We start from the raw sequence: 27554 nt of genomic DNA on the forward strand, positions 1-27554 counted from the left end.
CGTGAAATAAGATTAAATAACTTATATTTCTTAACTTAAAGTTTTGGTTAAAAACTAAAATTTGAGGTTTAGAAATTTTAAATATTTTCCAAAAATTTAGAGTAGGATAAGTATTTAACGTATATTCATTGACTTCATAACCAATCTTTTGGTACAACTGGAACCCCTCCAGCGACCTTTTCAAACTATTGCCTCTGGTCTATTTAAATGTATTGGGGACCACATGGAGACTTCTGGAAATGCTAAATCTCAATCTAGAAATAGTAGTGAATGCCTTTTAAATCTAAGTTTGGTTGTGACTTTATGGCTCACTCACTTGTCTGCATAAAAATAAAAATTTCTTACCTGGTTTAAAAGCACAGTTTTTGGTGACATAAACCACCCTAGTGCATTCATTGTTTTGATTCCCCTAAGCTCTGCCTCTGTGATTTTGTCGATTTTTTTTCTTTTAATCCTGTAGATGTGCTTTTTTATTTTTTGCCCACTATCCTCTTTGTGCTGTTTTTCCTTATCTTTGCTCCTTTTTCCTCTCCTCCCAGCCTAACAAATGTGTATTACTAAGGACTTCTAGTGGCTAATGTGGGAAGTGCCTCTCAGAAATACCCACAACTGTAAACAGTAGGTCCATGCAGTGCGCATTGGACACACAGCACCTGTGGAAAGTAGGAACCAAAGGCAATAAACTGGTTCTTTTGACTACATGATACTATTTATTTCATGAATGTTATGCTGTATCCAAATGGTTATTGAGTGAATGCAGGAGACACCCATATTACACTTGTATATGATAAGCATATGCCTGTATCTTATGTTTGTATGGTGATTACATTCAGAAACTGCACTTAAAGTTTAACCTGTGAAATATGGCCCGCTTCTAAGTGTGTGAATATGATTATATATTAATTTAGGCTGAGAAGTGATAGAGACATTGATTGTGTTAGAGGAGGCTTTTTATAATTTGAAAATTCAACTAGCTACCTACAGATAAGATGGGATGTTATTTTATAGGATTTTATCTGAAATGTAGTACATAAGAGGTTCAGACCGTATCAGGGTTTAGATAAAAGTTATGTAACAGGAAAGACACATTGATCCCTTAGGTACTACCCTAGCTCTGAAGTGAGCTTTATGAAAAGTTAGAGTATATTGGAAAAAGTTGAGAATAGCTAGCTTCCTACATGTGGACCCTGGGTCACTCTTAATTCATAATTCATTCCAGATTTATATAGCATTTGGCATCTGTTCTCTGGCAAGAAATGATCATTAAAATAGTTGAATACAGTGTTCAGGCAGACTTATATGACGCCAAAACCATGCTTTGAACGTGGCAGAAACTGAGAATTTAACTTAGACTTCAAATAAAATTCCATAGAAGAATTTTGTAAACAAATTTTTTGGAAATATTTTGAAGTATTCTCCCTTCTATAGTAAGTTCTACTACAAATACTTGTTTTGAAAATTCAAACTTGCTTGAATGCAGTTTATATGTTAGGTAACAATTTGAGCATACCAAAAATTTTGCATTTGCGTGTGCACAAGTTTGTGTGAACTGAAATTACACACACACCCCTCAAACATCCACCATATTCTTCAATTCACAAAATGTGTTATGAGCTACACCCTCTACATCTTGTGTTACAATTTTCCGTTAGATTTCAGATCACCCTCCTTCCACCACTTCACAGTGACTCACAAGCTGCAACTCCTCCAACACCCACTTCCACCAGCAACCTTCAGGTCTTTTTCAAGGTTAAGTGCCATGTTTATTGTAGTATTTTTTCATTCTTTAACCATTTAACATATGCAGAACTGTGATATTGTTTTTATTTGATGTCTTTTTTTATGTGTCACTGCAAAATTTTTTAGTGTTGTGCCCCTAACCCACTTTCCTTATAAGCCCTGTGGTTTTTATTGCACAATTTTGTATAGTGAGGTGAGTTTTAGGATTGCAGAACTGTCATACTGCAGTTACAGCCGATCCTTGAATAATGTCATTTTGTTCAGCATCATTTCATTATAACACTGAAGAGGAAAAAATAATTGATTCCCAGCTGGGGCCACTTGTATGGAGTTTGCAGGTTCTCCCCACATCTGTGTAGGTTTCCTCCAGGTACACCAGGTACACCAGTTTCCTCCCACATAGCAAAGATGTGAGCTTCAGATGAGTTGGACAATCTTCAGGGTTTCAGTGTGAGTGAGTGTGGATGTGTGTGTGAGTGTGCCCTGCGATGGGATGGCATCCTGTCCAGGGTGGGTTCCCCCTTTTACCCTGACCTGCTGGGATAGGCTCTGGCCACCTTTGATAAGTGGATTGGAATAAGTGGGTTGGAAAATGAATAAATAAATGAATGAATGAATATAAGTTATTGGGAAATAAAAAAAATTATCAGGTATTTGACATTCATCCAAATGCACGGCAATATTTGTTAACTGTTTTTGAGCTGTGTGGTAGTAGGAGGTTCCTCTGAAAATTTTCATTTTGCAAACATTTGTTGATTTAATACACCACCACTATGACTACTGTCACGAATTCACCACAAATTGAGTAAATAATGATCTTACTTGTTTTCATTAATCTTTCTTAAATGTATGTATAGTTCACATTTATTTCAGCATTTAAAATTAGAAGTGTTTTGATCTTTATTGAGAAGTTTGATGACGTTTTTGTGACCAGAAATACGCTGTGGAAACTTAACCCTTGTTTATATCAGTTAGCCTAGGGTAAAATTGGTTTCATTGTACCTTGTTCACTGAAAGTCGCAGTTTCCAAGAAGCTGTCCATGTTAAGAGAAGACTTACTGTATATTCTCCACAGTTACTCAAGATCACCAAATGACCAGATCCGCAGCTTCCAATACTGTGGACTCACTCTCCCAGCACCTCTCTCTGTACACGCCTGTAAATGTTTAGCATCCTTGTTCTTTTCCTGCCCTCGGACCACTCTTGCACCTGTCATACTAGTTATTATTCTCTCTGCTTATTCCAGTGATTCTGGAGCATCATGCAACATTCATTCATCTTTAAAATTTCTCCCTCAGAAATGTAGACATTCTTTCATCTCAGCCACTACCTCTGTGGAGAAAATTTTCAATTATCCAGTGCCAGAAGCAAGCTGTCACATAATTTCCGGTTGTACTCGAGGTTCTTAGACTTCCCTATTGTAACCACCAGTTCAATTCAACTAAGCTGGAAGTTCACATCCTAAATACGTTAACATACTTAAAGGAACCGTAAAGCACTCTATAACTGTGGGGTGTGTAACATGTTTACTTGTAAACTGTAAAGCACTCTGTAACTGTGGGGTGTGTAACATGTTTAGTTGTAAACCGTAAAGCACTCTATAATTGTAAGGTGTGTTACAATTTTTCTTATCCTGACCAGTTTTCTCTCTTATCTTGGCTCTTCCTTCTGTGCCCACAGCAAATCAGCCTTGGAGTCCTCCTCCATGTAATGTGTTCATGTCATCCTTTCTTTCCCAGCCCCTCTGCTGCCTCTCATGTCTCTCATATAGCAGTGGCCCCCACCTGCTTCCTGTTCCCACTTTTGTGCCATCTCCCATTTCTTCCTTCACACTGATGCTTGTTCATGGTTCTGAAATTTTACTTTGTTCATAACACCTCTGCTTAAAATTGTCAAGGGTTTGTGATTAAATTCAAACTCTGCAGTGTAGAAGTTTATATCTTATCCAATCTGGCCCTCACTCCTCTTCTATCCATGTTTCCTTACATTCTCTAATACGAGTTGAGGTGCCTAGAAAGCTTAACAATATTTTACATGATTTCAAGTCCTGGCCTTCCACATCATGCCTGCAGCGGGGTCCTGTGTGTGGCAGCACCCAAATATGCTCCTCTGTATGTTTGTTAACAGTTGAGTAGTGCTTTTTATCAAGCGCATGTCAAGTTCTTTCTACAACTTTCTTTTATATAGGGTTTTTTCCCCCCTATAATTTGCGTAGTGGAAGATGTGGTAGTGGAAATGAAGTTTCATAAGAAACCTAGGACAAGTTACTCTGGAAACGGTTTGTTATTTAGAAAGTGTTTTCATAGTGACCTTGCTGGAAGGGAGGACGACCACAGCTCTTAATGATATGGCAGACCTCGGCCCCTGGATAGGCACCAGCTCTCTGTCCTCCCCACAGTGGACTGCAGCCACAATGCTCTCCCCATGTGAGATGGAAAGGGGAGCTGGGTTTAATTGTAGCGCACAGCTGGCCAAAGACCTCTACAGCAATAATCTTTCAGTATTTCAGTGTAAATTTGTGACTTATATTATGTTCAAGTATTTAAAAGTACGTTGTATTTTCCAACAATAACTTTATAAATGGTGCCTCTTCCATTAGTTCAACTTTGTAACATTTTTCTGTACTTGGAAGCTTTAGTAAAGGAAAAACTTACCTCTGGATTTCAGTTGAGAAGTCTCAAATCCCGATGTTTTAGAATCAAACTAAAATTCTTCACCCGCACAGTAATAATTATTTTAAAGTGTTAAAAAGAGAGATTATATTGTTAACTCAGAGAGGTGTTTCTCTCAAGAGTGCAGAAAAAAGCACCAAAGCTTACAAATTCCCAAGGGCATCTTGATCTTACTTTCTGTCCCATTCATGGCATTAGTGAACTAACTGGCTTTGCAGGGCCAAACAGCACAAGGCTGACCACCCACCAGGGACGTTGAGCTTTAAGAGGCTGTTTTAGTCCATTTTGTGTTGTTGAAACAGAATATCACAGCCTGTGCAATTTATAAAAACTGAAATTTATTTTCTCACAGTTCTGGAGGCTGAGAAGTCCAAAATCAAGGCTCAGTATCTGGTGAAGGTCTTCTGAGTGGCTCCTCACGTGGTGGGAGACAGAAGGGCATGCTAGCTGAATGCTGTGTGAAACCTCTTTTATAAGGACCTTAATCCCATTGACTAGGAAGGAGCCATCATGGCTTCATCACCTTTTAAAGGCCCTGCCTGTTAATATGATCACATTGACAATACTTGAATTTTGAAGGGGACACATTTAAACCATAACAGAGGCTGCCATTCAGAAAATTCTGACTAGATGGGAAAAAATTACTTTGGATTGAATTAGTTCCTATTTTCTGAAAACCTTATCCATGATCACATTTACTGTTCTGTATTCATCCCTGGAGTCCAGAGAAGCAAGTCCTGCTTTGGTCCAGTCCTCCCAAGGTCATCCTGAGCCTGGTGGTGCCTGAAGCCACATCTTGCCACCTGGGCGTTTACTGGTCCACTGAGGCCTATCATGGATCTCCAAGGTGGTCATGGCAGTTTGGGGGGCATTCAGTGGTTAGGGCCAGGTGTATACTGCACCATTTTTGTAAGTCCATTGGCATGTTTGAGAATGATAATCTTTTCATTTTTTGAGTTTGGAAAGATACTTCCCTGTTATGTGTCAAGTAATCATAGAATCCATGTGAAAGAACAAAGTTTTTTTACTGTCTAGCCTTTTTCTTTTATAGCAACTTAAGGACTTCTCAGACTTTGTAACTTCATTAGAAACAGCTACAACAGAAGATGCAGTAGCCACATCTGTGTTGAGCAGGACAGGCAAAGAAAGCAGTTTAGAGGTTGGGATTTTCTATCTGAAACTGAGATTCAAAACAAGATAAAGGGGAAAAAAATCTAGAATTCAGATGTTATTACTAAAATTTCTTTCACCCAAGTATATAAAATTATTGACAAACTACTTTTATAATTATTAGCAAAATCTGTGTTCTTAAGATGAAGGGCAATTCAGTGAATTGTCTGAAATCAGACATAGGGTCCTTATATAAAACCACAGACTTGCTTATTCTGAAAATGGAATTTTCCTAGTTGATAAGCAAGTTTCAAAACAGAATATGAAGGAGCAGTCTATAGAAATCTAGTAATATATAATATATTTATGTAATAATAACCCTTCTCATAGCTGTATCTATAAACAGAGAAGTTTACTTTACACTAACATGGGAGTTACTTTCAAAACATAGCACTCCGATAAAAGGCATATCTGGTTTCTTTCCAGCTTAATAAAATATAAATTTTAATTTTTACTTTGCCTTTAGTTAAAATTTCCTGCTTTTCATCTGCTCAAATTCTACATTAAAATCTTATATTAGAGGTGATCAAATTTATGAAATAGATTTCTAGGCTATGTTACATCCATAGATTTTCCAAACACTTTAGTTCCAGAAATGTAGGAGGTACTGGTAACAGGCCAGTGATATAAAATCCATTAGCAACAACTATATAAAATCATCTTGCCCTAGAAAAAACAATATAAGCATCCATGTGGCGAGTTACTCAGGCTGGCAGCAGGGTGTCTGATTGCTGTGCCAAGACTTACACCTGTGTGTTTATAGGGGCTTGATGAAATTCATGCATTTGCATTAATGCAAATAATGCTTATATAATTAACCATTCTACTTGGCCTTGCATTCTAGTGACGTATCAGTGTAATATACACAGAGAAAACAAGATAAAGTAGTTTTTTCCTTTGGCTCATGCATCGATATTACTACCTGCACATCTGTTTTTGTCTAATCTGAGATGCTTATTCTAGTAGTTTCACATTAAATATAAATTATTTATTATTTATAATAATGAATTGTAAAATAGAGCCAAGTAATTTATTGCTGTCATTTTAAAATGTTTTCTCAAAGTGCTTTATAGAAACATTGTTCTAAAAAACAACTTTGGGTCAATGTTAGTAGCTGAGATGATATTACTATTGTAATTGTGTGTAGCACCTTTTAGGAGTTACAAAATTTCCTCTGCTTTTGTGCTTTCTTCGGATTGAAACGGCCTTTCCTCTTCACTTGTGCAGTTGCCACTCATGTGTCAAGACCTATAATGGTTTTGTGGGAAAAGCAGAGGCTTCAAGACCAAACAGAATACCAGTTTCATGACTTACTAATTACAGTTATTTTGCCTATAATACCAGATTACCTTGAAAGGTTGCTTATGTTTCAGGTAGGTCTTCAGTGTTCACATGTGTAAAACTAACCTCATAATTACTCACCTCACATGGATAATGTGATCAGTAAATAAAATAGAAAGCACCAAGTACATACTGATGCAGAGATGTTGAATCACTTTCATCTTGATGCATTCAACCAACACTTGTACTATTTATAATCACAGCTTGTTATAAAGTAGCAGATCCAGACAGAAAGTGGCCCCTGCTAGATCAGCTGGTGGCCCCATGTTGCCTCTGCTGCATCCTCAGTGCCATGTGCACTACATTCAATCATAATTGATGGCAGAATGAAAGGGAAACATCAGCCTGCTGAGTAGGGGCCTGAAGGCCCATCGCCTAACCTGTCCTCTAAGCCTGCTGGACTCTTCACCTGGTGTTGCTATAGGAGCCCACAGTCCTGAGAGCTTCCTTAAGAGTACCTAGAGGAGCTCTTAGACTCAAGGAGAATTTATGCAATAGTGCAAAAGTTGAAGATTAATATATGCCTGTTAAGAACAAGAACTATGAACTGTTAACCATACATTAATTTAATTATAAATATGTACCCCAAAATGATAAAAAGATACTTCCTTCTGAAGCAAGTAGTACAAATATTTTATAACAGGTGTGACAACATGAATCATCTCTGCTGAGGTCTGGATAAGTTTTCTGCCTGCCTTGTCTAAGCTTTGCTCATTGTTTACTATGGGCCTACCTTCTCCTAGGCTGGTTCCTTCTGGAATTCCCCTCTAATACAGTCTGCAAATGCCTCCTGCTGTTTACTTGCAAACCTAGGAGGAATGGCTTCTCACTATTGTGTTCTCCACCCTGAAGTATTAGTCATCTTCATATTTTATATACTACTCATGAATCGGGGGACGATATTCACTGTCATTATCAGCAGAGGAACTTCCTGTATTGAAATCTAAGCCACAAGTGGATCCTTCTGTGGCTGTCAACATGGATACCATTACACTACAAGTGCTTCACCATTAAATATCCTGCCAAAGGGCTGTAGCTTCAGAATATTGAATTTTATCACATCCAATAGCTCACAGGTTACAATAGCAATCCCACCTTTTTAGTTATTCTTTGTGCATCTGTTTTATTTCTGTACCATAGTCCCAGTGCAGCAATTGTTCTTTTTTTTATATATATACTTTAAGTTCTAGGGTACATGTGCTTCATTCTCAGCCCTTAGCTCAGGGTCTCACACATAGAGGGCCTCAGTAAACGATTGTCCCAAGAATAAACAAATGATCCTCCAAGTGTTACAGAGTTTAGGAGGCAGATGAGCTTCTATATCTGGACTCTTGAGATGGATGTGCATTTATTCAGCCTTAACGTATATTTTATAGCTGGAAGGTGCATAATTATTTATCCTTTGGTGATACTTAAACTGGAAGATGATTCTAAGAATAATAATGCAACTTGTTTCTCTGAGCTTCATCACACCCAGCTTTTCAAGTGGAACTAAAATTAGTAATGAGTATTGGAAACATTGCCAGTGAACATATGAAAGGAGGGCATTCAGCTAATTTGGGGCTACCAGAAAATGCTCTGCCAGGCCTCCTGGATAAATGGGGAGTCAGCCGTGACAGCTGCCGCTTGCAAGTGTCTTCATTGTGCCAGTCGCTCCTCACACATCCTTTCATTTAATCCTCACATTATGAGGTGTAATGTCTTTAATAAGCTTATTTTATGGGTAGGAAATTAGGGTTATGAGGTTAAATATCTTGTCCTAGATGACAAAGCTAATGAGTAATAGAACCAGGATTAGAACCCATGTAAATCTTTGCTGTTTCTGCCGCTACACCACTCCCAAGATGAGTTTCTCATCTGCATGTGTGAGCCTCTGCTTAATGCTGCTGTTTTGTTCTCCTCCACTCCTGCTTTTGCTCCTGTCCTCATTTGTTTAATGACTGGGTTCATTTCCTTGATCATATTTTTTTTTCCTTCTCCTATTTGAATGATGGGGGCACAGTTGGCCAGTTCTTTGATACTGAGCTGTAACAATCACCATCCTTGCTTGAAGAAGTCCTTGCTTCTTTGTATCTCTCATTTGGCTTGACATCAAAGCTGAAAAAGGTTACTGATGACGGTATGGACCTTTTCAATATGCAAATTATGTAATGGTACAAACGACTTTATATCAGTATAATAAAGTTCTTAACGATTCATTTTTATTGCTGCCTGTTCAATACGTCAAGCTGTAAAATAGAATATTTTAATTTATGGGAATGACTCAGATCTTGAAGAATGAATGTGAAAATACTGAATTCCAAAGTGCAAACTCTGCCATAGGCTGTGGACTTCTTGAGGACAGGGGTTGTATCCTGTAGGTCAGGTATCCCTGGTTTCCACACAGGGGCTGCCTGCAGTAGACCCCAGCGATGATTAAAGATACATTATGAAGGCGTAAATAAATGCCTGCCTTGGCCTTTAAACTTTTGATGTTTACCATTTTTTTAGAACTGTGCAAGTTGATAAATACTATCTGACTAAGCTTAAGAAGCTAGTACACTTTTTAAGAGACATGTTGGTTATATTTTAAATAAGTGTAACTTACCAAAAATATGGTGGTTTTTGAATTATGCAAATAATCCAACCTGCATATATTTAGTTACTATAAGATAATTACTATGGCAATTAGTGATAAATGCTATAAAGAAAAATAAGGCAGGCCAGGTGCGGTGGCTTATGCCTGTAATGCCAGCACTTGGGAGGCCGAGGTGGGAAGATCACTTGAGCCTAGGAGTGTAAGACCAGCCTGGGCAACATAGCAAGATCCCATCTCTACAGAAAATTTTAAAAATTAGCCAAGCATGGTGGCACACACCTGTAGTCCCAGCTACCTGGGAGATGGAGGCTGGAGGATTACTTGTGCCTAGGAGTTGGAGAGTGCACTGAGCTATGATTGCACCACTGCACTCCAGCCTGGCTGACAGAACAGACCGTGTCTCTTAAAAAAATAAAAAGAAAAAAAATGAGGCAGAAATGAAAGGAATGGTTGGGTGTTTATTACTTAAAATATGATGGTCATGTAAAATAGATGAGTAATATTATAATGCAAAATATTTGGATATTTAAATACAAATATGTAAAATTTATACTAAGGTAGATATCATAATTGTACCCATTTGAGCCATGAGACTTGTTTCTGGCTATCCCATTTCCTTTTCATAGTGATTTTAGAGCCAACAAGATTACTTCAGAGGGATCTTTTCCTAGCTTTTTGGTGAGTAAAATAATGGATCAGCTGTTCACTGATTCTTTCCCTTCTTCAAGCTTGGGCTCTTAAAACAAGCACATGCAATTTGGAACAAGAATTCAAATTTGAACATTTTAAAAACCATTAATAGGAACATAAAAATACTAGTTTTAGAGGTACTATTAGTGATGAATGGTATCAAATAAATAAATGCTATTTTTTAATTCTCATTGTATGTTTTAAACTGAATTTCAGATGAAGACATTTTGGCTGAAATGAGTGAAGTGTGTAGGTGTTGAAGTTTTCTATAAGATGAAGTTGAAAATTTTGTTAAAATGGATAACCAAATTTTAAAACTCAGATCAGATTTGCACGCATATTTGTAGCTTTTCACGCTGAAATGAACTCAGTTCAGTATATTAGCTCAGGGTTCAAGTGCAGTGTTGTACTAGCCTCACTGCACTTGGAAAGTAATACTATTCACATCTTGTTTTAACCATTATGTGGGGATGTGTGATGTTATCATTTTCACATGCACATTTGAAGTTGAGTAGTGGAAAGTCAGATAAAAAAGCGTTTAATATCATCACATCAGCCTGTTTTAGGAGAAGAGCCTTGTGCATGAATGCAGGAGGGGATCTAGTTGTCAGGTGTAATCTCATGTCTGGATGTTCCCTTTGCAGATGATTCAGTCCCTCAAGGCGTTGATTGAAAATGCAGATGCTGTATATGAAAAGATCGTACATTGTCAGAAGGCAGGTAAGTGAAAGTTTGTTTCCTCTCTTTAAATGAAATTAATAGCATCATATACTTTGCCCCAAAACTATTTCATTTTTTGGATGCTATATCAAGAAAATCAAATAAGAAAATTATTTTTCTATGGCTAAAGAAAATACCAATTCAGTGGTTCTCAGCCTTGGGTAACAAACTCACCTGAGGGGACCATTCAAAATACATTAACATTGGTCTGAGGTATGGGGCTGGGAATTAATAACTATTTTAAATTCCCAGGTGTTTCTAATGTACAGCCAAAATTGAGAAACTCTGCACTAATCTCTTCTTCAGTGTTAACTGTGTTGCCAAAGCTCCTGCTGGTCACCCGTGACTCTGGTACACAGTAGGATAGGTAAGGCTTGAGTAGAGGGAGAATGGCTTCTTGTAAAGGAGATGGATTCCAGTTACAACCTCCTGACACTTTTTAGTACACTGGCATTTTCGCGTGCTGATAAATTCATTAATTTAACATCCAAATGTTATACCAGACTATAAAATTCTTCTTATATAAACAATCATCCCATTAATTTTAGCTGTGGTAAAACCAAAAAATTCAGTATTCTGCATTGTAATAAAAATACACAAAATGGAGTTCTTTTAATTTTCTGATTTTTTGAGTGTTGATTTGGGAGATTCTATTATGGAGAATATTTTCAAGTCATAAAAAAAAAAAATTGTCCTGACTTTCTAAGGTTTTTTTCGTTGCTGTTCTTTAAAACCAAGAAACTATATTGCCTACCCTGAAAAAAAAAATCCCTTATCTCAGAAATGAACTTGTTTAAAATAGATTGAAGATAAGGATATGTGTGACATTTTTTTTCTAATATCTATTGAAAGAGTATTCATATTAGTGACTAATCAACAAACTCCACAATCCCCATCTTGTTTTACTCATCTTGTCAGCAAATATTGTTAGCAAAGTGGTCTTTCTACTTCTAGTCCTTTGCAGGCTAACTCTCCCTACAATCTACATTTAATTATTCAAACACAATTTTTATCTACAACACAATCTACAAATTATTAACACAATCTGCAAATTATTGAACAGGAGATATGGAAGTAAACACAGTAAATATATTGAATACTTACCGTGTGTTACTCAGGAGTCTCAAGTTGGTGTGTGAGGCACTGGGGAGACATTGGTGTTTGTGTAGAACAGGAGAGGGACTGAGCTTTCAGGTACTGACCATAATAGCTGTGTGCAGAGAATGTCCATGGGCAGACCTGATGGGAGGCAGTTGGCAATAGATAAGGAAGGTGCTTCTGGAGAGTGAGGGAGGAAGGGAAGGGATGGTGAGCCATCTACCCTCTGCTTTGGGCTGCCTGTCCCCATTCCCTGTGTTTCTACTTAATCAGATTTGCACACATCACTCATCTGCTGAGACTTCTTTCTCTGCCCTCTCTGCCAATCTGTACTTTCTTCTTTTTCAATTATCTCAACAGTCTTCTGGGAGACCTTTCAAGATTCCAGGATTTATGTTACCTAAAGCATTCTATTCAGCCCTTTAAACCTTTAATTTGCTTCAGTTGGTAGGGCTTCTTCAGTTATTGTGTATTTTATTAATGCATTCCATCTTGTAAACAGGATAATAACCTCCTAAAGCACTAAGATTATATATCAAGCTGCTCTCTGTATCTTACCCATGACATCTGTTCTAACATTCTGCACAGAGTAGTTGCCCAAATATTAACTAAATATGATTTTATTTTAATTATTTGATTCCATTCAATGCATGTATTGCTATGAAAATTGTGGACTTTGTGGAATTTGAAAAAAACTGTTTATCAGAAAAAAAACTATTCAACAATTTGAGTTATTGTCAATTCACTGGTTTATGAGATTTGATAATTTTCAGTATAATGTGGCTTTCTGTTTATGTTTGATTTCAGTAAGGGATACATGTGCTTGTACTTAAAAAGCTGAAGAATCTTATCTATTAGGGATTTTGATTAGGATGGGGGGAGAATAACCACTGTGTAATGGTTCAAGTTGCTCTGGGTTTAAAGATCTTTAGAAGCGTGTAAAGATTATCTTTTGGTTTCACAGTTACTGATGAACGCCTACACAGCCCTTCTGTTATCCCAAGTACTTATTTTAGAGTCCCTTGATCTTTTGTTTCTCATGTTTACAATTATGGTAAGGACATATAGTCATTAGTCATATGAAGAATTGCTAATTTGTTTTGGGCTCAAAGACAGTTGCATAAGATCTTACTTTTGATAAGTAATTGTTATTCTGCTTGCCAACAGATATAGGTCACCAAAGTGCTGCAAGAGAGGATTATTTTAGATGTATTTCGAATTTTAAAGCACAAACATATATTTTTATTAGTTAAAACCTTGTTTAAATAACTGAGTGGAAATAAAGAGTCAGACATCCACCCCCAAACACATGTTAAAAAATGTCCCCAGTTCAGAAGGGTTCAGGCTCTTGGCTGTGTAATCTATTTTTTACATAGGAACATGCTATGCTGATGTTAGTACTGGGAAGAGGAAGCGTGGCAGGAGAGGAATGCTGAGAAGTGAAGACCTCCAACCAAGGTAGGCTAGGAACCTATGCATCCCAGCAGTGGAGGACCCAAAGGGACCATGGAAAGAGCAGTGGAAACAACTCGGAGATGCGCAGTTGGAGGCAGCCTGCCTGCATAGTCCTCTCTGTTAAGAAGAGAATGCAGTGACACAGAGAGTTGGGGTAAAAGAGAAATTTTAATAATAAAACCATGTTGCTAGGAGTATATAAACGACCCAGTGAAGAGGAAGACATTAATAGATGAGACAGAGATTCAGGATGAAGGATGTGAGGTCAGGAATGAAGTACAGTCATGAAACACTTGACCTCAGAAAGGGAGAAAGGCTCCTCGTCTGAGATAATACAGAAAGCCGTGACATTTAGAAAAATTCTGAAAAAGAGAGGAGTGTTTTCCATTGACGAGGTAAACAGGGAAGTAGTGTCATAGGAGAACACCAACTTTGGGGGTGAGGAAGTGAAAGCGGGGATTCAAGACAGGGGCAAGAGTATGGGGACTTTGCTCAGAGTCAGAGATCAGCAGTGCCAGTCAAAGGGACTGATTAAATATCAGATCCTGCAGGGGTGATATGGGATGCGTGAGTCTGGGCCGCCATGGGAGTGAGAAGTGATGTGGCCATGCAAGAATGGGTCTCTATAATTCATAAGCCCAGGCGAACACATGCATACATGTTCTCAAGTAGGAGATTGGTAAGGAACACCAGCAGGAGAGCTGAACAGGAGTCTGCAGAGGGAGAAACATCATAAAAGTTCATTTGTTAGAAATGTATAAAAGTTGGGAAAAGATTTGTCAAATTCTTTCAGGGCCAAAGTCTTTTCCACTTTCTAATATCAGGGCCAAAGTCTTTTCCGCTTTCTAATATCTATGTTTTTGTCTCTTTAAATGCCAAAACTGCAGCCCATTTTTGGATTATAATTTCCTTTCTAGTCACTGAATTGGTATGCTTAATAAAGGATAGGAAGACGATCAAGAAGGAAACCCAAATGCTTTCCCTCAGTGAGCTAGGTGTTTCTATCAGGTAATTTTAAATGGAAAATAAATTGTTCTCTGGAGGAGGAAAAAAACAAATCAATGACATCCTGTTAAAGATGGTGAATTAACAAATGCTTTTAATCTCTACTCTAAAACCTCATTAAAATGACAGTAGAGGGTTTTTCTTTAAGCCACAAATCCATAAGGACAAAGAAATCGGGAGCAACAAAATTCTAGAAACTGAGTAACAGCTGAACAAGTGATAATTGGCTTAGCTGCCCACTCAGGAACCTCAATCTGAAGCTGGTCTTGGGGGGCCTGACACAGCCTGACTCACAGGCCAACCACCAGCTCAGATCTAACCTGGTGACCAGGTACCTCTGGGAACTGGGTTAAAGCTAGTTATAAAAGACAGGAACTGTGTAGAAGCTGGATTAATTAACGCTTAGATCTCTGTGTCCTGACAGTGGGGAGGTTAAAAATAGCAAAATTCTCATTCTCCATATGGGGAATTTAATAGGTGATGCTTGAAAAACAGTTCTAAGTAAACAATATAAGCATGTTACTTGGAAATATGAACATAAATACTAAGGAAGGGAAACAATCAGCTAAAGGCATTGAATGTGACTGCTTCTGGGGAGGGAGAATTGTGGACAATTATTTGGTTCTTTACGTACATGCATAATTCTAGCAAAAATAAAAACTAAATTCGAAGAAAAAAGAAGGAAGGAATCAAGGGGCAAAAGCTGCCACAGGAACTGAGGATGTTCCCAAAGATGTGATCCCACACCCACAAGGCCTGGGAGAGTGTTAGGTTGCAGAGGCGCAAAGAGCCCGCATAGGACACCTGCTGGCTTCCCTGCTTTCATGGGCATGCCTCAGGCAGAGGTGATGCCTGCATGCCTGGGAGGATGAGAGCAGGAGAATCTGTTCTGTGCACTTTCAGAATGACTGTTAGGAGGGAGGATCAAACTAAATGAAAGATGACCCAGCCCTCTCCACACCTCTTTAAATGGAAGGTTCTTTGCTAAAAGCTCCAGCGTATTTTCATGCATGGCCAGGGTTGCATCTTCACTGAGTAAAGTGGGATCAAAGAAAATAACTTTCCAAATAATAAAAGCTTTAATTACCCTTCATTTTAATCAATTTAATGGGAAATTTTCAGTGGATCTTATCCATCCCTGCTTTCTTAAATTTGATTTGCCAAAAATAATTTGAACATTTGTTTTAAAGACCCAGGGTCATCTTGAGATGCTGCAGTTTAATGCAGTGATTTCTTGGAGGCTTTAAGTTTGGAGGCCCCTTAACCTGCACACACAGCAGCCTGCCTGCTGTGACTGTTCAGATCTGGACATGGTGTTAATAGTTAAATTCCATCTCCTTTCATTAAACTCTCACTTCCTACTGCTTTGTACTGTATTTCCAACTGTCTGTTTGTATACTGCTCTTTTTTTCTCTTACATTTGCTGCTTCCAGTCTGCTGAGCAGTTGATGTCTCCCCTGTGACCAAGCGATTTATCTTACATAAAAGAGGATGAGGCCCCGACACACTCCTGCATGGGGAAAACCAGCAGAATGTCAGGCCAGACCTACATGACCTGGATTTAATTGCTCAGAGACTTTTTTTTTTTTTTCAAACTCCTCAGATCTCAGTGTGCTCCTAGGAGCTGAGGTTATCAGATAAGTAAGCCATCACCACCTGTCACTTGGTTCATGCACATCATCTTGCCCAACATAGTAAAGAAAATCATCTGCGAGATTCATTCTGAAAGCACTTAACAAGTGTTCTGTTTGAAAATACAGTTGACCCTTGGACAACACAAGTTTGAACAGCATGGGTCCACATATATGTGAGTTTTTTCAATAAATATACTGAAACATTTTTTGGAGGTTGGCAACAATTTGAAAAAAGACAGATGAACCATGTAGCATGGAAATATCAAAAAATTTAAGAAAAAGGCCACAAATGCATAAAATATATGTAGGTACTAGTCTATTTTATCATTTACTGCCATAAAATATGCACAAATCTGTTATAAAAGGTTAAAATTTATCAAAACTTATGCACACACTTAAAGCCCATACATGACGTCTTTCACAGTTAAGAAAAATGTAAACAATGTAAGATGCACTATTAACTCATAACTGCTAAAATTAACTCCAAAACATACTTTGCTACTGTAATAATTTCATAGCCACCTCCTGTTGCTGTTGTGCTGAGCTCAAGTGTTGGGAGTATCTGCTTAAAACGCTGTGTGATGCTAATCATCTCTGACTGAGCAGTTTATCATTCCAGTAAGTTGCATTCACAGTAAAAAGTGATCTCTCACAGTTACGGCATATTATTCATCATGTTTAGTGCAATACCATAAACCTTAAGTAACACCATGGGACCTATATGAAGTGCCACTGGTGATACTGTAAGTGCTCCCAAGAAGCAGAGAAGAGTCATGACATTACAAGAAAGAGTTGAATTGCTTAGTATATACCATAGATTGAGGTCTGCAGTTGACTGCTATTTCAGGATAAAGAAATCCAGCATAAGGACTGTTCTAAAAAAAAAGAAAAGAAAATTCATGAAGCTATTTTTGCAGCCATACCAGCAGGTACGAAAACCTTGCACTTCTTGTGCAAAGTTTTTTTTTATCTCACATTGAAAATACAGCTTTTAGGTGGGTACAGGATTGCTATACAAAAGGCACACCTATAGACTAATATGATTTAAAAAAAAGTGAAGTCATTATATGACAATTTAAAGTAAAGGATCCAAAGCTAGAGAATTTAATGCCAGCAAAGGATGGTTTGATAATTTTAGAAAGAGGTTTGGCTTAAAAAATGTCAAGGTAATAGGCGAAGCAGCTTCTGTCAACCAGCAGGCAGCAGACAAGTTCCCAGATGCCATTAAGAAAATCATTGAGTCAAATTATCCTTGTTTGCAGATAATATGATCTTATGTTTGGAAAAGCCTAAAGACTCCACCAAAAATCTGTTAGAACTGATAAACAAATGCAGTAAAGCTGTAGGATACAAAATCAGCATGCAAAAATCAGTAGCATTTCTATATGCCAACAGTGAACAATTTGAAAAGGAAATTTAAAAAGTAATCCCACTTAAAATAGCCCCAAATAAAATTAAATACCTAGGAATTAACTTAAAGAAGTGAAACATCTCTATTAATGAAAACTATAAAACACTAATGAAAGAAATTAAAGAGGGCACACATAAAAAAATGGAAAGATATTTCATGTTCATGGATTGGAAGAATCAATATTGTTAAAATGTCCATACTACCCAAAGCAATATACAGATTCAATACAATCGCTATCAAAATTCCAGTGACATTCTTCATGGAAATTGAAAAAAAAAATCCTAACATTTATATGGAACCCCTAAAGACCCAGAATATTCAAAGCTATCTGGAGCAAAAAGAACAATACTGGAGGAATCATATTACCTGCCTTCAAATAATACTGCAGAATTATAGTAATCAAAATCGCATGATAATGGTATAAAAGCAGACACATAGACCAATGGAACAGAATAGAGAACCCAGAAAGAAATCCACACACCTACAATGAACTCATTTTGACAAGGGTGTCAAGATTATACAGTGGGGAAAACACAGTGTCTTCAGTAAATCGTGCAGGGAAAACGGGATATCCATATGCAGAAGAATGAAACTGGACCCCTATCTCTCTCCTTATACAGAAATCAAATCAAAATTTAAATCTGTGACATCAAACTGTGAAACTACTGCAAGAAAACATTGGGGAAACTTTCCAGGCATTGGATTAGGCAACGATTTCTTGAGTAATACCCTACAAGCACAGGCAACCAAAGCAAAAATGAACAAATGGGATCACATCAAGTTAAAAGGCTTCCACACAGTAAAGGAAACAAACAACAAAATGGAGAAATAACACACTGAATGGGACAAGGAATTAATAACCCGAGTATATAAGGAGCTCAAACAACTCTGTAGGAAAAAAAGTCTAATAATCCAATTTTAAAATGGGCAAAATGTTTAATAGGAATTTCTCAAAAGAAGACATACAAATGAAAAACAGGCATATGAAAAGGTGCTCAATATCATTGATCCTCAGACAAATGCAAATCAAAACTAAATGAGATATCATCTCACTGCAGTTAAAATGGCTTTTATCCAAAAGTCAGTCAATAACAAATTCTGGCGAGGCTGTGGAGAAAAGGGAACCCTCATACATTGTTGGTGGGAATGTAAATTAGTACAACCATTATGGAGAGCAGTTTGAAGGTTCCTCAAAAAAACTAAAAATAGAGCTACCATATGATCGAGCAATCCCACTGCTGCATGTATACCCAAAAGAAAGGAAATCAGTATATCAAAGAGATACCTGCACTCCCATGTTTTTTGCAGCATTGTTCACACTAGCCAAGATGTGGAAGCAACCTAAGCATCTACCAACAGTTGAATGGATATTGTGTGTGATACTTATACACAATGGAGTGCTATTCAGCCATGGAAAAGAATGAGATCCTATCATTTGCAACATGGATGGAACTGGAAGTCATTATGTTAAGTGGAATAAGCCAAGCACAGAAAGACAAACATCACATGTTCCCAATTATTTTTGGAATCTAAAAATCAAAACAATTGAACTTAATGGAGATAGAGAATGGAAAGATGGTTACCCGAGGCTGGGAAAGGCAATGGGAGGTCAGGGCGGGGGAGGTGGGGATGGTTAATGCGTACCAAAAAATAAAAGTTAGGAAGAACGAGTAAGACCTAGTATTTGATAGCGCAACAGGGGTGCTGTAGTCATTAATAATTTTATTGTACATTTTAAAACAATGAAGAGTATTATAGGATTGTTTGTAACACAAATGATAAATGCTTATTAAGTGGATAGATATTCCATTTTCCATTATTATGCATTACATGCCTGTATCAAAACATGTCACGTACCCCATAAGTATATATACCTGCTATGCACCTATAAAAATTTAAAATAAAAATAAAATTTAAAAAAACCATTGAGGAGAAAGGATATCTGCCTGAACAGGTGTTTAATGAAGCTGAAAGTACCCTGTTCTGGGGGGAAAAAAAAGTCACAGTGGAGAATTGTTAGTAAGGAAGAGAAGCAAACAGCAGGATTTAGGGCAGGAAAGGATAGGCTAACTCTACTGTTTTGTGCAGATGCAGTCAGGTTTATGGTCAGGACTGCCCCCATCTATAAAGCTGCTAATGCCCAAGCCTTAAAGGGGAAAGATAAACACCAGCTGCCAGTCTTTTGGTTGTACAACATGGAGGCCTGAACAACAAGAGCTTCTTCTATATTAGTTTCATGATGCTTTGTTCCTGAAGTCAGGAAGTACCTTGCCAGTAAGGGAATGCCTTTTAATTTTCTTTTGATATTGGACAATGCCCTTGGTCACCCAGAACCCCATGAGTTCAACACTGAAAGCCATGAAATGGTCTCTTTTCCCCCAAGCACAATGTCTCCAAGTCAGCATGTAGATTAAAGGGTCATAAGTACCTTTAAGGCTCATTACAGAGGATGCTATATGGAAAGGATTATTAATGCTGTGGAAGAGAACCCCCAATAGAGAGGACATCATACATGTTTAGAAGGATTCAAAATCCTGTTGAAGATACCATTGTTGCTACAGAAAAATCCATGAAAGTCATCGAGTCCAAAACAATAAATTCCTGCTGGAGAAAACCGTCCAGATGTTCACACGATTTATAACAGAGCTGCTGAAAGAAATCATGAAATAGATTGTGAATATGGCAAAAAAAAAAAAAAAAATTGGGGGGGGGTGAAGGTCTCAGGTTATGGATTTTGGAGAAAATCAAGAGCTCATGGACACCACACCAGAGGAATTAACAGAAGATAACTTGACGGAGATGAGTGCTTCCAAACCAGTGCCAGACAATGAAGAATATGTAGAAGAAGCAGTGCCCCCAAACAAATTGATATCAGACAATCTGGAAGAAGGGTTCCTATTATTCAAGACTGCTTATGACTTCTTTTATGACAAAGATCCTCCTGATGATACTGGCACTGAAACTAAAGCAAAAAGTGGAAGAAGTACTGGTACTGTATGGAAGCATTTTTAGAGAAGTGAAAAAGCAAAAAAGACAGAAATTGCAATGCATTGCTGTAAAGTTACACTGAGTGTGCCTGCCTCCCCTGCCTTTCCTTCTGCCTCCTCCACCTCTTCTGCCTCTGCCACCTCTGAGACAGCAAGACCAACCCCTTCTCTCCTTCCTTCTCCTTAGCCTACTCTGCTAGAAGATGATGAGGATGAAGACCTTTGTGATGATCCACTTCCACGTGATAAATAGTAAATACATTTTCTCTTCCTCGTGATTTTCTTAATGTTTTCTTTTCTTTATCTTACCTTATTGTAAGAATATAGTACATAATACATATCATATACAAAATATGTGTTAATCAACTGTTTATGTTACCAGTAAAGCATCCATCAGGTCCAAAGTAGGCTATTATTAGTAAACTTTTTGGGGAGTCAAAAGTTACATGCAGATTTTTGACTGCATGCAGAGTCAATGCCCCTAACACCCCTGTTGTTGAAGGGTCAATTATATTTGCAAATGGAAACCTGAGAGCCTTATAACTTTTTGTTTTGTATTAGTCTGTTCTCGTACTGCTATAAAGAAATAACTGAGACTGGGTAATTTAGAAAGAAATGGGCTCATGCTTAATTGGCTCATGGTTCCACAGGCTGTACAGGAAGCATGATGCTGGCATCTTCTCAGCTTCTGTGTAGGTCTCAGGAAACTTACAATCATGGCAGAAGGTGAAGGAGAAGCAGGCCCATCTTACATGGCTGGAGCAGGAGGGTTGGAGGAGGTGATGCGCTCTTTTAAACAACCAGATCTCATGAGAACTCAAAAGGGGGGATGGTGTTGAACCATTCATGAGAACTCTGCCCCATGATTCAGTCACCTCCCACCAGGCCCCACCTCTAGCACTGGGGGTTATGTTTCAACATTAGATTTGGGTGGAGACACAGATTCAAACCATTTATTCTGCCCTGGCCCCTCCCAGATCTCATGTCCTTCTCACATTTCAAAATACAATCATCCCTTCCCAATAATCCCCCAAAGTCTTAACTCATTCCAGCATTAACTCAAAAGTCCAAAGTTTGATCTGAACAAGGCAAGTCCCTTCCACCTATAAGCCTGTAAAATCAGAACAAGTTACTTACTTCCAAGTTACAATGGGGATATAGGGATTGAGTAAATAATCCCGTTTCGAAAGGGAGAAATCAGCCAAAAGAAAGGGACTACAGGGAGCAGTGTCCAGGGGCTGTACAGAGCAGCTGGGCCCTGGACCTGGTCCATGAAACCATTCTTCCTGCCTAGGCCTCAGGTCTGTGATAGGAGGGGCTGTCAGGAAGGTCTCTGAAATACTTTTCAGGCCTTTTCCCCATTGTCCTGACTATTAGTATTTGCCTTTTAGTTATAAAATTTCTGCAGCCTGCTTGAATTCCTCCTCTGAAAATGGGCTTTTCTTTTCTACCACATGGCCAGGCTGCAAATTTTTCCAACTTTTATGCTCTGTTTCCCTGTTAAATATAAATTCCAGTTTCAGGTCATTTCTCTTCCTGTGCATATGAGCATAGGTTGTTAGAAGCAGCCAGGCTACATCTTGAACACTTTGCTGCTTAGGAATTTCTTCTGCCAGATATCCTAAATCATCACTCTCAAGTTCAAGGTTCCACAGATCCCTAGAGCAGGGATACAGTGCAGCCAGGCTCTTTGCTAAAGCATAGCAAAAGTGACCTCTACTCCAGTTCCCAATAAGTTCCTCATTTCCATCTGAGACCTCCTGAGCCTGGACTTCATTGTCCATGTCACTATCAGTATTTTGGTCACAACAATTTAACAAGTCTCTAGGAAGTTCCAAACTTTCCCTCATCTTCCTGTCTTTTTCTGAGCTCTCCAAACTGTTCCAACTTTTGCCCATTACCAGTTCCAAAGCTGCTTTCACATCTTCAAGCAATGCCCTGCTTCTCAGTATCAGTTTCTGTTTTATGAGGCTTCAGGAAACTTACAGTCATGGTGGAAGGCAAAGCAGGAGCAGTCATCTTCACATGGCCCAAGCAGGAGAAAGAGAGTGGGGAGGTGCCATACATTTTTAAACAACCAGATCTCTTGAGAACTTACTATATACTACCAAGGGGGGATGGTGCTAAACCATTTATGAGAATGCTACCCCCATGATCCAATTACCTCCCACCAGGACCCACCTCCAGCACTGGGGATTATATTTCAACATGAGATTTGGATGGAGACACAGATCCAAATCGTATCAGTTCTCATTTATGTCAGAATGTTTCTCAGCTCTGTTTTACAGAAGTGAAAGGTTCTTTCCTGGGAATTGAGAGACCCATGTTCTGGTGCCCTCTGTACCATGTCCCTGCTGTGTGACTTTAGTTTAGTCACTTGACCCTCTCTGCCTCATTTTCCTTCTTCTAAGTGGCAGTGGATTATGTGATTCCCTGATGGCCCTATGCCTTCTAAATTACAGTGAACTAAGATCAGTTACATAAACAGCAATTTGGGAATGGCTGGATTACAGTTACTGAAAAAGATTAAAAGATTAAACAAGTCATCCCATACAATGTTACAGGACACATAAATTGTAGCCCATCATCATTACTTTCAAGGAGGAAAGTTAACACTTTGAAGATGAGACACAGGAAACCTGCATCAGACTCCCAGGCCCCATTTGAAATCCACAGCATCTTTTCTCTTAAAGACTGGATATTGAACCACCACATCTTCTTTTAGGCATTTACTAATTAATTAACTAATAATTAGTGAAGTCAAGGGAAGAAGAGAAGTAGCAAGGTCCTCAGTGGCCTCTTTCTCATTTTAATTCCCTCACTAAGGACCTTCATCACTGATAAGGGATGGCAGAGGAAATGACCACAAAGACAACAACTAGGCCAACTCATTCAGAGCAAAAACTTCAAAATAAGCAACTGGTCTCTAGAAACCGCTGTCTCACCACACCTCAACCGTCCCTGTAACCTTCACCCTAATTCTGCTCTAAGATTCCCACATCATATATTCACAGAGTCATGCAAAGAAAAGAAGGATTCCCACATCAACTTTCACACGAATGTTATTTTTCATACGTGTGATCAGAATCCCCTGGGAATGCTTGTTGAAAATGCAGTCTCTTTACATCATTCCCAAAATATTGACCATCTGGGAGTGAGACTCAGGAATTTGCATTGTGGTGAGCACATTCAGGTTTTGAGAACTTCTCTTTTGAGGGTAGAGCAGAGCAGGCCCTCTTCTGAGTTCATGCTCTTTCCCTAAGCCTCTCTCCTCTGTCTCTCACAGGGAGAGTGTGAGTGACTGCTCAGACTCAGGCATGCACCAGCTGTGTGATTGAATGACAGCAAAATTATCTTTCTAGAGCAGCATAGAACATAGCTTTCACCAGTGACATTTCCCCAGTGCCACAAATGAAGGGGAGGGAAGTTTTGGGGACACTTGCCCTTCCCGGGGTACCTGTTCTGTGATTAAATCCCAACACTGTGCTCTCTTGTCACATCTTCCTCCCTCCTTCCTTCGTAAACCCATGGAGTCTCTGAAAGCATCCCCTTGTATTTAAATAGCAACTCTCAGGGTCATCTCAGCAGATGTTCTGCTGAAGAGGGGTCACGAGTAACTCTCAGGCTGTTTTTAACTCTGGCACTTGCATAAATAAACCATTTGGTTATGAGAATTCCCATTATAATTTCTTATTAAAGCTGAGAAGAACTACAATTCAAGTAAAGTCCACAGACAAAATGAATCACCTTTCTCATACAAATACCAGAAGGTTATATATATACACACATGTATGTGTGTATATTAGGTATCCTTAGGTTTAATATAAAGTGATTTGGCCCAGATTATCTCTAAGGCTTTTCCAGCTCTCAAATTCTATGGTCTACAAATCCTATAGTATATTATAAATATATAAGGGATTGTAAAAGGGAATATACAAATAATTGAATAAAAGTGAACAAATGCATTCTAAGAATGTTTTAACAGTATTTGGAGATAAACTTTCTTATAATAATAAGGAATATAAAGCAACTTCAATTAACCCATGTTCTTTTAGTATAGGTCACTGTATTCTCATTATAGGTCAGTGCTGTGTCAATAACATATTAACATATTAAAGAAAAAACACAGTCATGCATTTGTGGAATTTGTTTCATGACAAGTTATTATACTAATTACTTATTGGAGATGCAAAAAAAGGATAATAATGTCTATACCATCATGGAAAGTTACAGTAAAACACAACCAAGTGAGTGGTATAGATAACAGGTATAAATGAAATTTGAAGAAAGGAGCAGTCTCAGAGGCTTTTGTTGTTAGGAAAGGAGGTGGAGCTTGAACTAGGGGCTTGAGGGAATGCAGGATTTGTATAAGTTAAGCAGAAGGAACAGGGCATTTTAGATGGGCCAAAGCTTAGCAGACTTTATCATCAAGGTGTACTTTCAGTGCACATGAAATATATTGTCCTGGGTGAAGGGAAATATTTGCTTCAGGAAACAGTAAAAATTAGGTTGGAAATACAGGCTGGGCCCAATTATGGAAGCCTTTTAACTCAAGTCTAAAACATTTGGGATTGATTTTTTTTAAGCCAACATTTACTAAAGCCTAATTCATGCAACACTAGTCATGTTCCTCGGGCAAAGGACTTCATCATCAAATTTTTATAATGCAACTTATCCCCTTTGGAGATTCTCAGTACACATTAGCATGCTAAATATCCTTCATTTTTAACTCAGCATTTCTCAAACTTATTTGGTGATAAAGCCCTTGTCTCAAGTTCTATCTGTCAGTGTCTTAAAGACTTCGGGAAACTGTTACAAGCAGTGAGGTCACTAGATAGTTTAGGACTCACTCGGGGACTCAGTGATTGGTTCTGTCTCCTCTGCCCTCCGTGTTCATATATTACTCCCAGAAAAAGAATGTGAATGCCTGAAGTATTAGTTTAGGAAGAAGTTGGTTGTGAAGGTCTGTTTCAGGTTTGACACATATGAGATCACAGTAGGATGCTCAAATGGAAATAGCTAGTAAGTTGTCAAAACAATTATAGTGAAGCTTCAGATAGAGATGAGGCCTACAGATAGAATTGGCTGTCATCCAAATAGAAGGGCCGCTTGAGTGGATGAGTTCTCTGTAATAATTGTTTCCTTGTAACACCCCATATAATTTACTTATGCCCATCACTTGTTGTCTGTGTTTCTCCTACTAGAGTGGAAACTCCTTGAGGGCAAGGGACCTTTGTTTGTTCATAACGTTTCCCAAATGCCAAGAACAGTGTTTGGTACAAAGCCAGCACTCAATAAATATCTGTTGAGCTGAATTGAATACAGAATGCCGCATATTTATTTGTTCAACAAACGAGCTCTTACTCTCCGTCTGACCAGGAGCTGGAGATTCCACAGAAAAACGGGATATGGACCCTCCCCTAAGAGGGCTCCAGGTCAAGTATTGGAGACAGGCATCTAAGCCACTCATAAGTGTAAGTGCAGCCTAGGTTGTAAGTGCAGGAGTGAGTGCGCACTGCCGTAGAGCCCTGATCACACAGAGGAGGAGTGGGGAGGTCTGTCTGTGGGGATAGTTGAACCAGACTTTAGGGCAGGAGTTAAGTCAAGAAGGTGGTTTGTCTAAGAGCCAAGGCAAGTGGACACAGACAGAAGAGTGTATGCAGGGCAATACAGCCCCGGCCAGCAGCAGCAGTGAGCAACATGGAATATCACATGGGAAAAACAGGAACAGCAAATGAGGTGGAGATGCAGGCCAGGAACTAATATAATCCCAGAAGCTTTAACATAATATTAAGCAAACAAATTTGGTGTTAGACTGCATGTAAAAGAATTTCGTATGGCAAAAACAAACATTCTGAAGGTTGTGCTAACTACTTATTGATGGATTGAATGTGGCATAGGAGGAGAGAAAGAGATGGTTTTTGGCTTCATCTTGGAAGGATGGAGCTGCTATTTACCAAGATGCTGAAGACTGGGGCAGGCCTGGTCTTGAAAGGGAAGATCAGGGGTTTGTTTTTGGACAAGTTAAGTTTGATACGCCTAGTTCACCTCCAAGTCTAAAGTTTGGAGGAGAGATCAATACTGGAATTATTAAATTTGGGAGCTATCATTGCAAAGGTGATCTTTCAAGCTGGGAGACTGAGCTCATATAAGAGATGACCATAGACATAGAAGAGGGATCGCTGGCCCCTAATGTTTATATGTCAGCAAGATGCAGAAGAACAAACAGAAGGTTAAGGTATGGCAGCCAGAGAGGTGGGAGGAGAACACTGATCTTCTGGAAGTCTAGTGAATGAGGTATTTCAAGGAGATACCATTTTTCAGATGTTTGTATTAAAGACCCCAGAATTCCATCACATATAAATGACAATGGATTGGTAAGGATATCGGGGAAGCTGATAACTCAGATTTGGGGGAGGGAGGGCATGTAAATTGGGTCCATATATAGGGAAGCCCGTATGGCAGTAAATTTCAGAATTTCAAATTCTATATACTTCCAACCAATAATTCCATTGTTTCAGAGATTATTCTATAAATATGATCAAATACTTAGGGAAAGTCATATGTGCAAAGGTTTTTGTTGTAATATTGAGGACAACTTAAATGCTTACCAGGAGGGCCCTGGGACATACATTATGATACATCCTTATAATGGAACATTATGCCACTGTATAAAGAATAAAGAATTCAAAAATCAACTGTGACAGCACGTGCCTGTAGTCCAAGCTACTAGGGAGGCTGAGGCATGAGAATCACTCAAACCTGGGAGGCAGAGGTTGCAGTGAGCCGAGATTGCACCACTGCACTCCAGCCTAGGTGACAGAGCGAGAATCTGTCTCAAAAAAAAAAAAAAAAAGAATAAAGAGGTATGTATGTGTGTATGTGTGTGTGTATATATATATGTGTGTGTGTGTATATATATGTGTATATGTATTTCTGTATATATGAGTGTATATGTGTGTATATATACACACATATACATATATATACTTGCCTCCAGACATATATATACATATATAAGAAAGATCTTACATGCATATATAGATATATAGA

The 27554-nt window shown here is 38.5% G+C and overlaps 1 protein-coding gene and 1 long non-coding RNA gene across 6 annotated transcripts in view, besides 2 other annotated features; one reads left to right on the forward strand and one right to left on the reverse strand.

Annotated features, from left to right (window-relative positions):
- The window catches only part of PLCL2 (phospholipase C like 2), a 205652-nt gene that overhangs the window by 147084 nt on the left and 31014 nt on the right, over window positions 1–27554 (forward strand). For all 5 annotated transcript variants that reach the window (NM_001144382.2, XM_047447799.1, XM_017006025.2 and 2 more), the window contains one exon: window positions 10836–10911. In NM_001144382.2, the coding sequence (NP_001137854.1) occupies window positions 10836–10911 (76 nt within the window). The remainder of the gene's footprint in view (window positions 1–10835; window positions 10912–27554) is intronic.
- Window positions 6975–8174: an enhancer, noted in NCBI's record as "P300/CBP strongly-dependent group 1 enhancer chr3:17080505-17081704 (GRCh37/hg19 assembly coordinates)". NCBI's record gives its function as "activates an origin of replication core promoter dependent on BRD2, BRD4, P300/CBP, MED14 and CDK7 cofactors, with strong dependence on P300/CBP, by STARR-seq in HCT116 cells {active_cell/tissue: HCT116}" and the evidence as "EXISTENCE:reporter gene assay evidence [ECO:0000049][PMID:35650434]".
- Window positions 10714–22546, reverse strand: PLCL2-AS1 (PLCL2 antisense RNA 1). Its single transcript, NR_046640.1, has 3 exons — window positions 22488–22546; window positions 12016–12150; window positions 10714–10875 (listed from the first exon to the last, which is right to left on the reverse strand). It is a non-coding gene; the product is annotated as a PLCL2 antisense RNA 1 (long non-coding RNA).
- Window positions 22382–22571: an enhancer, noted in NCBI's record as "active region_19562". NCBI's record gives its function as "activates an Ori minimal core promoter by ATAC-STARR-seq in GM12878 lymphoblastoid cells {active_cell/tissue: GM12878}" and the evidence as "EXISTENCE:reporter gene assay evidence [ECO:0000049][PMID:35858748]".

Source organism: Homo sapiens, chromosome 3 (assembly GCF_000001405.40).
Source record: "Homo sapiens chromosome 3, GRCh38.p14 Primary Assembly".
Lineage (NCBI taxonomy): Eukaryota > Metazoa > Chordata > Mammalia > Primates > Hominidae > Homo > Homo sapiens.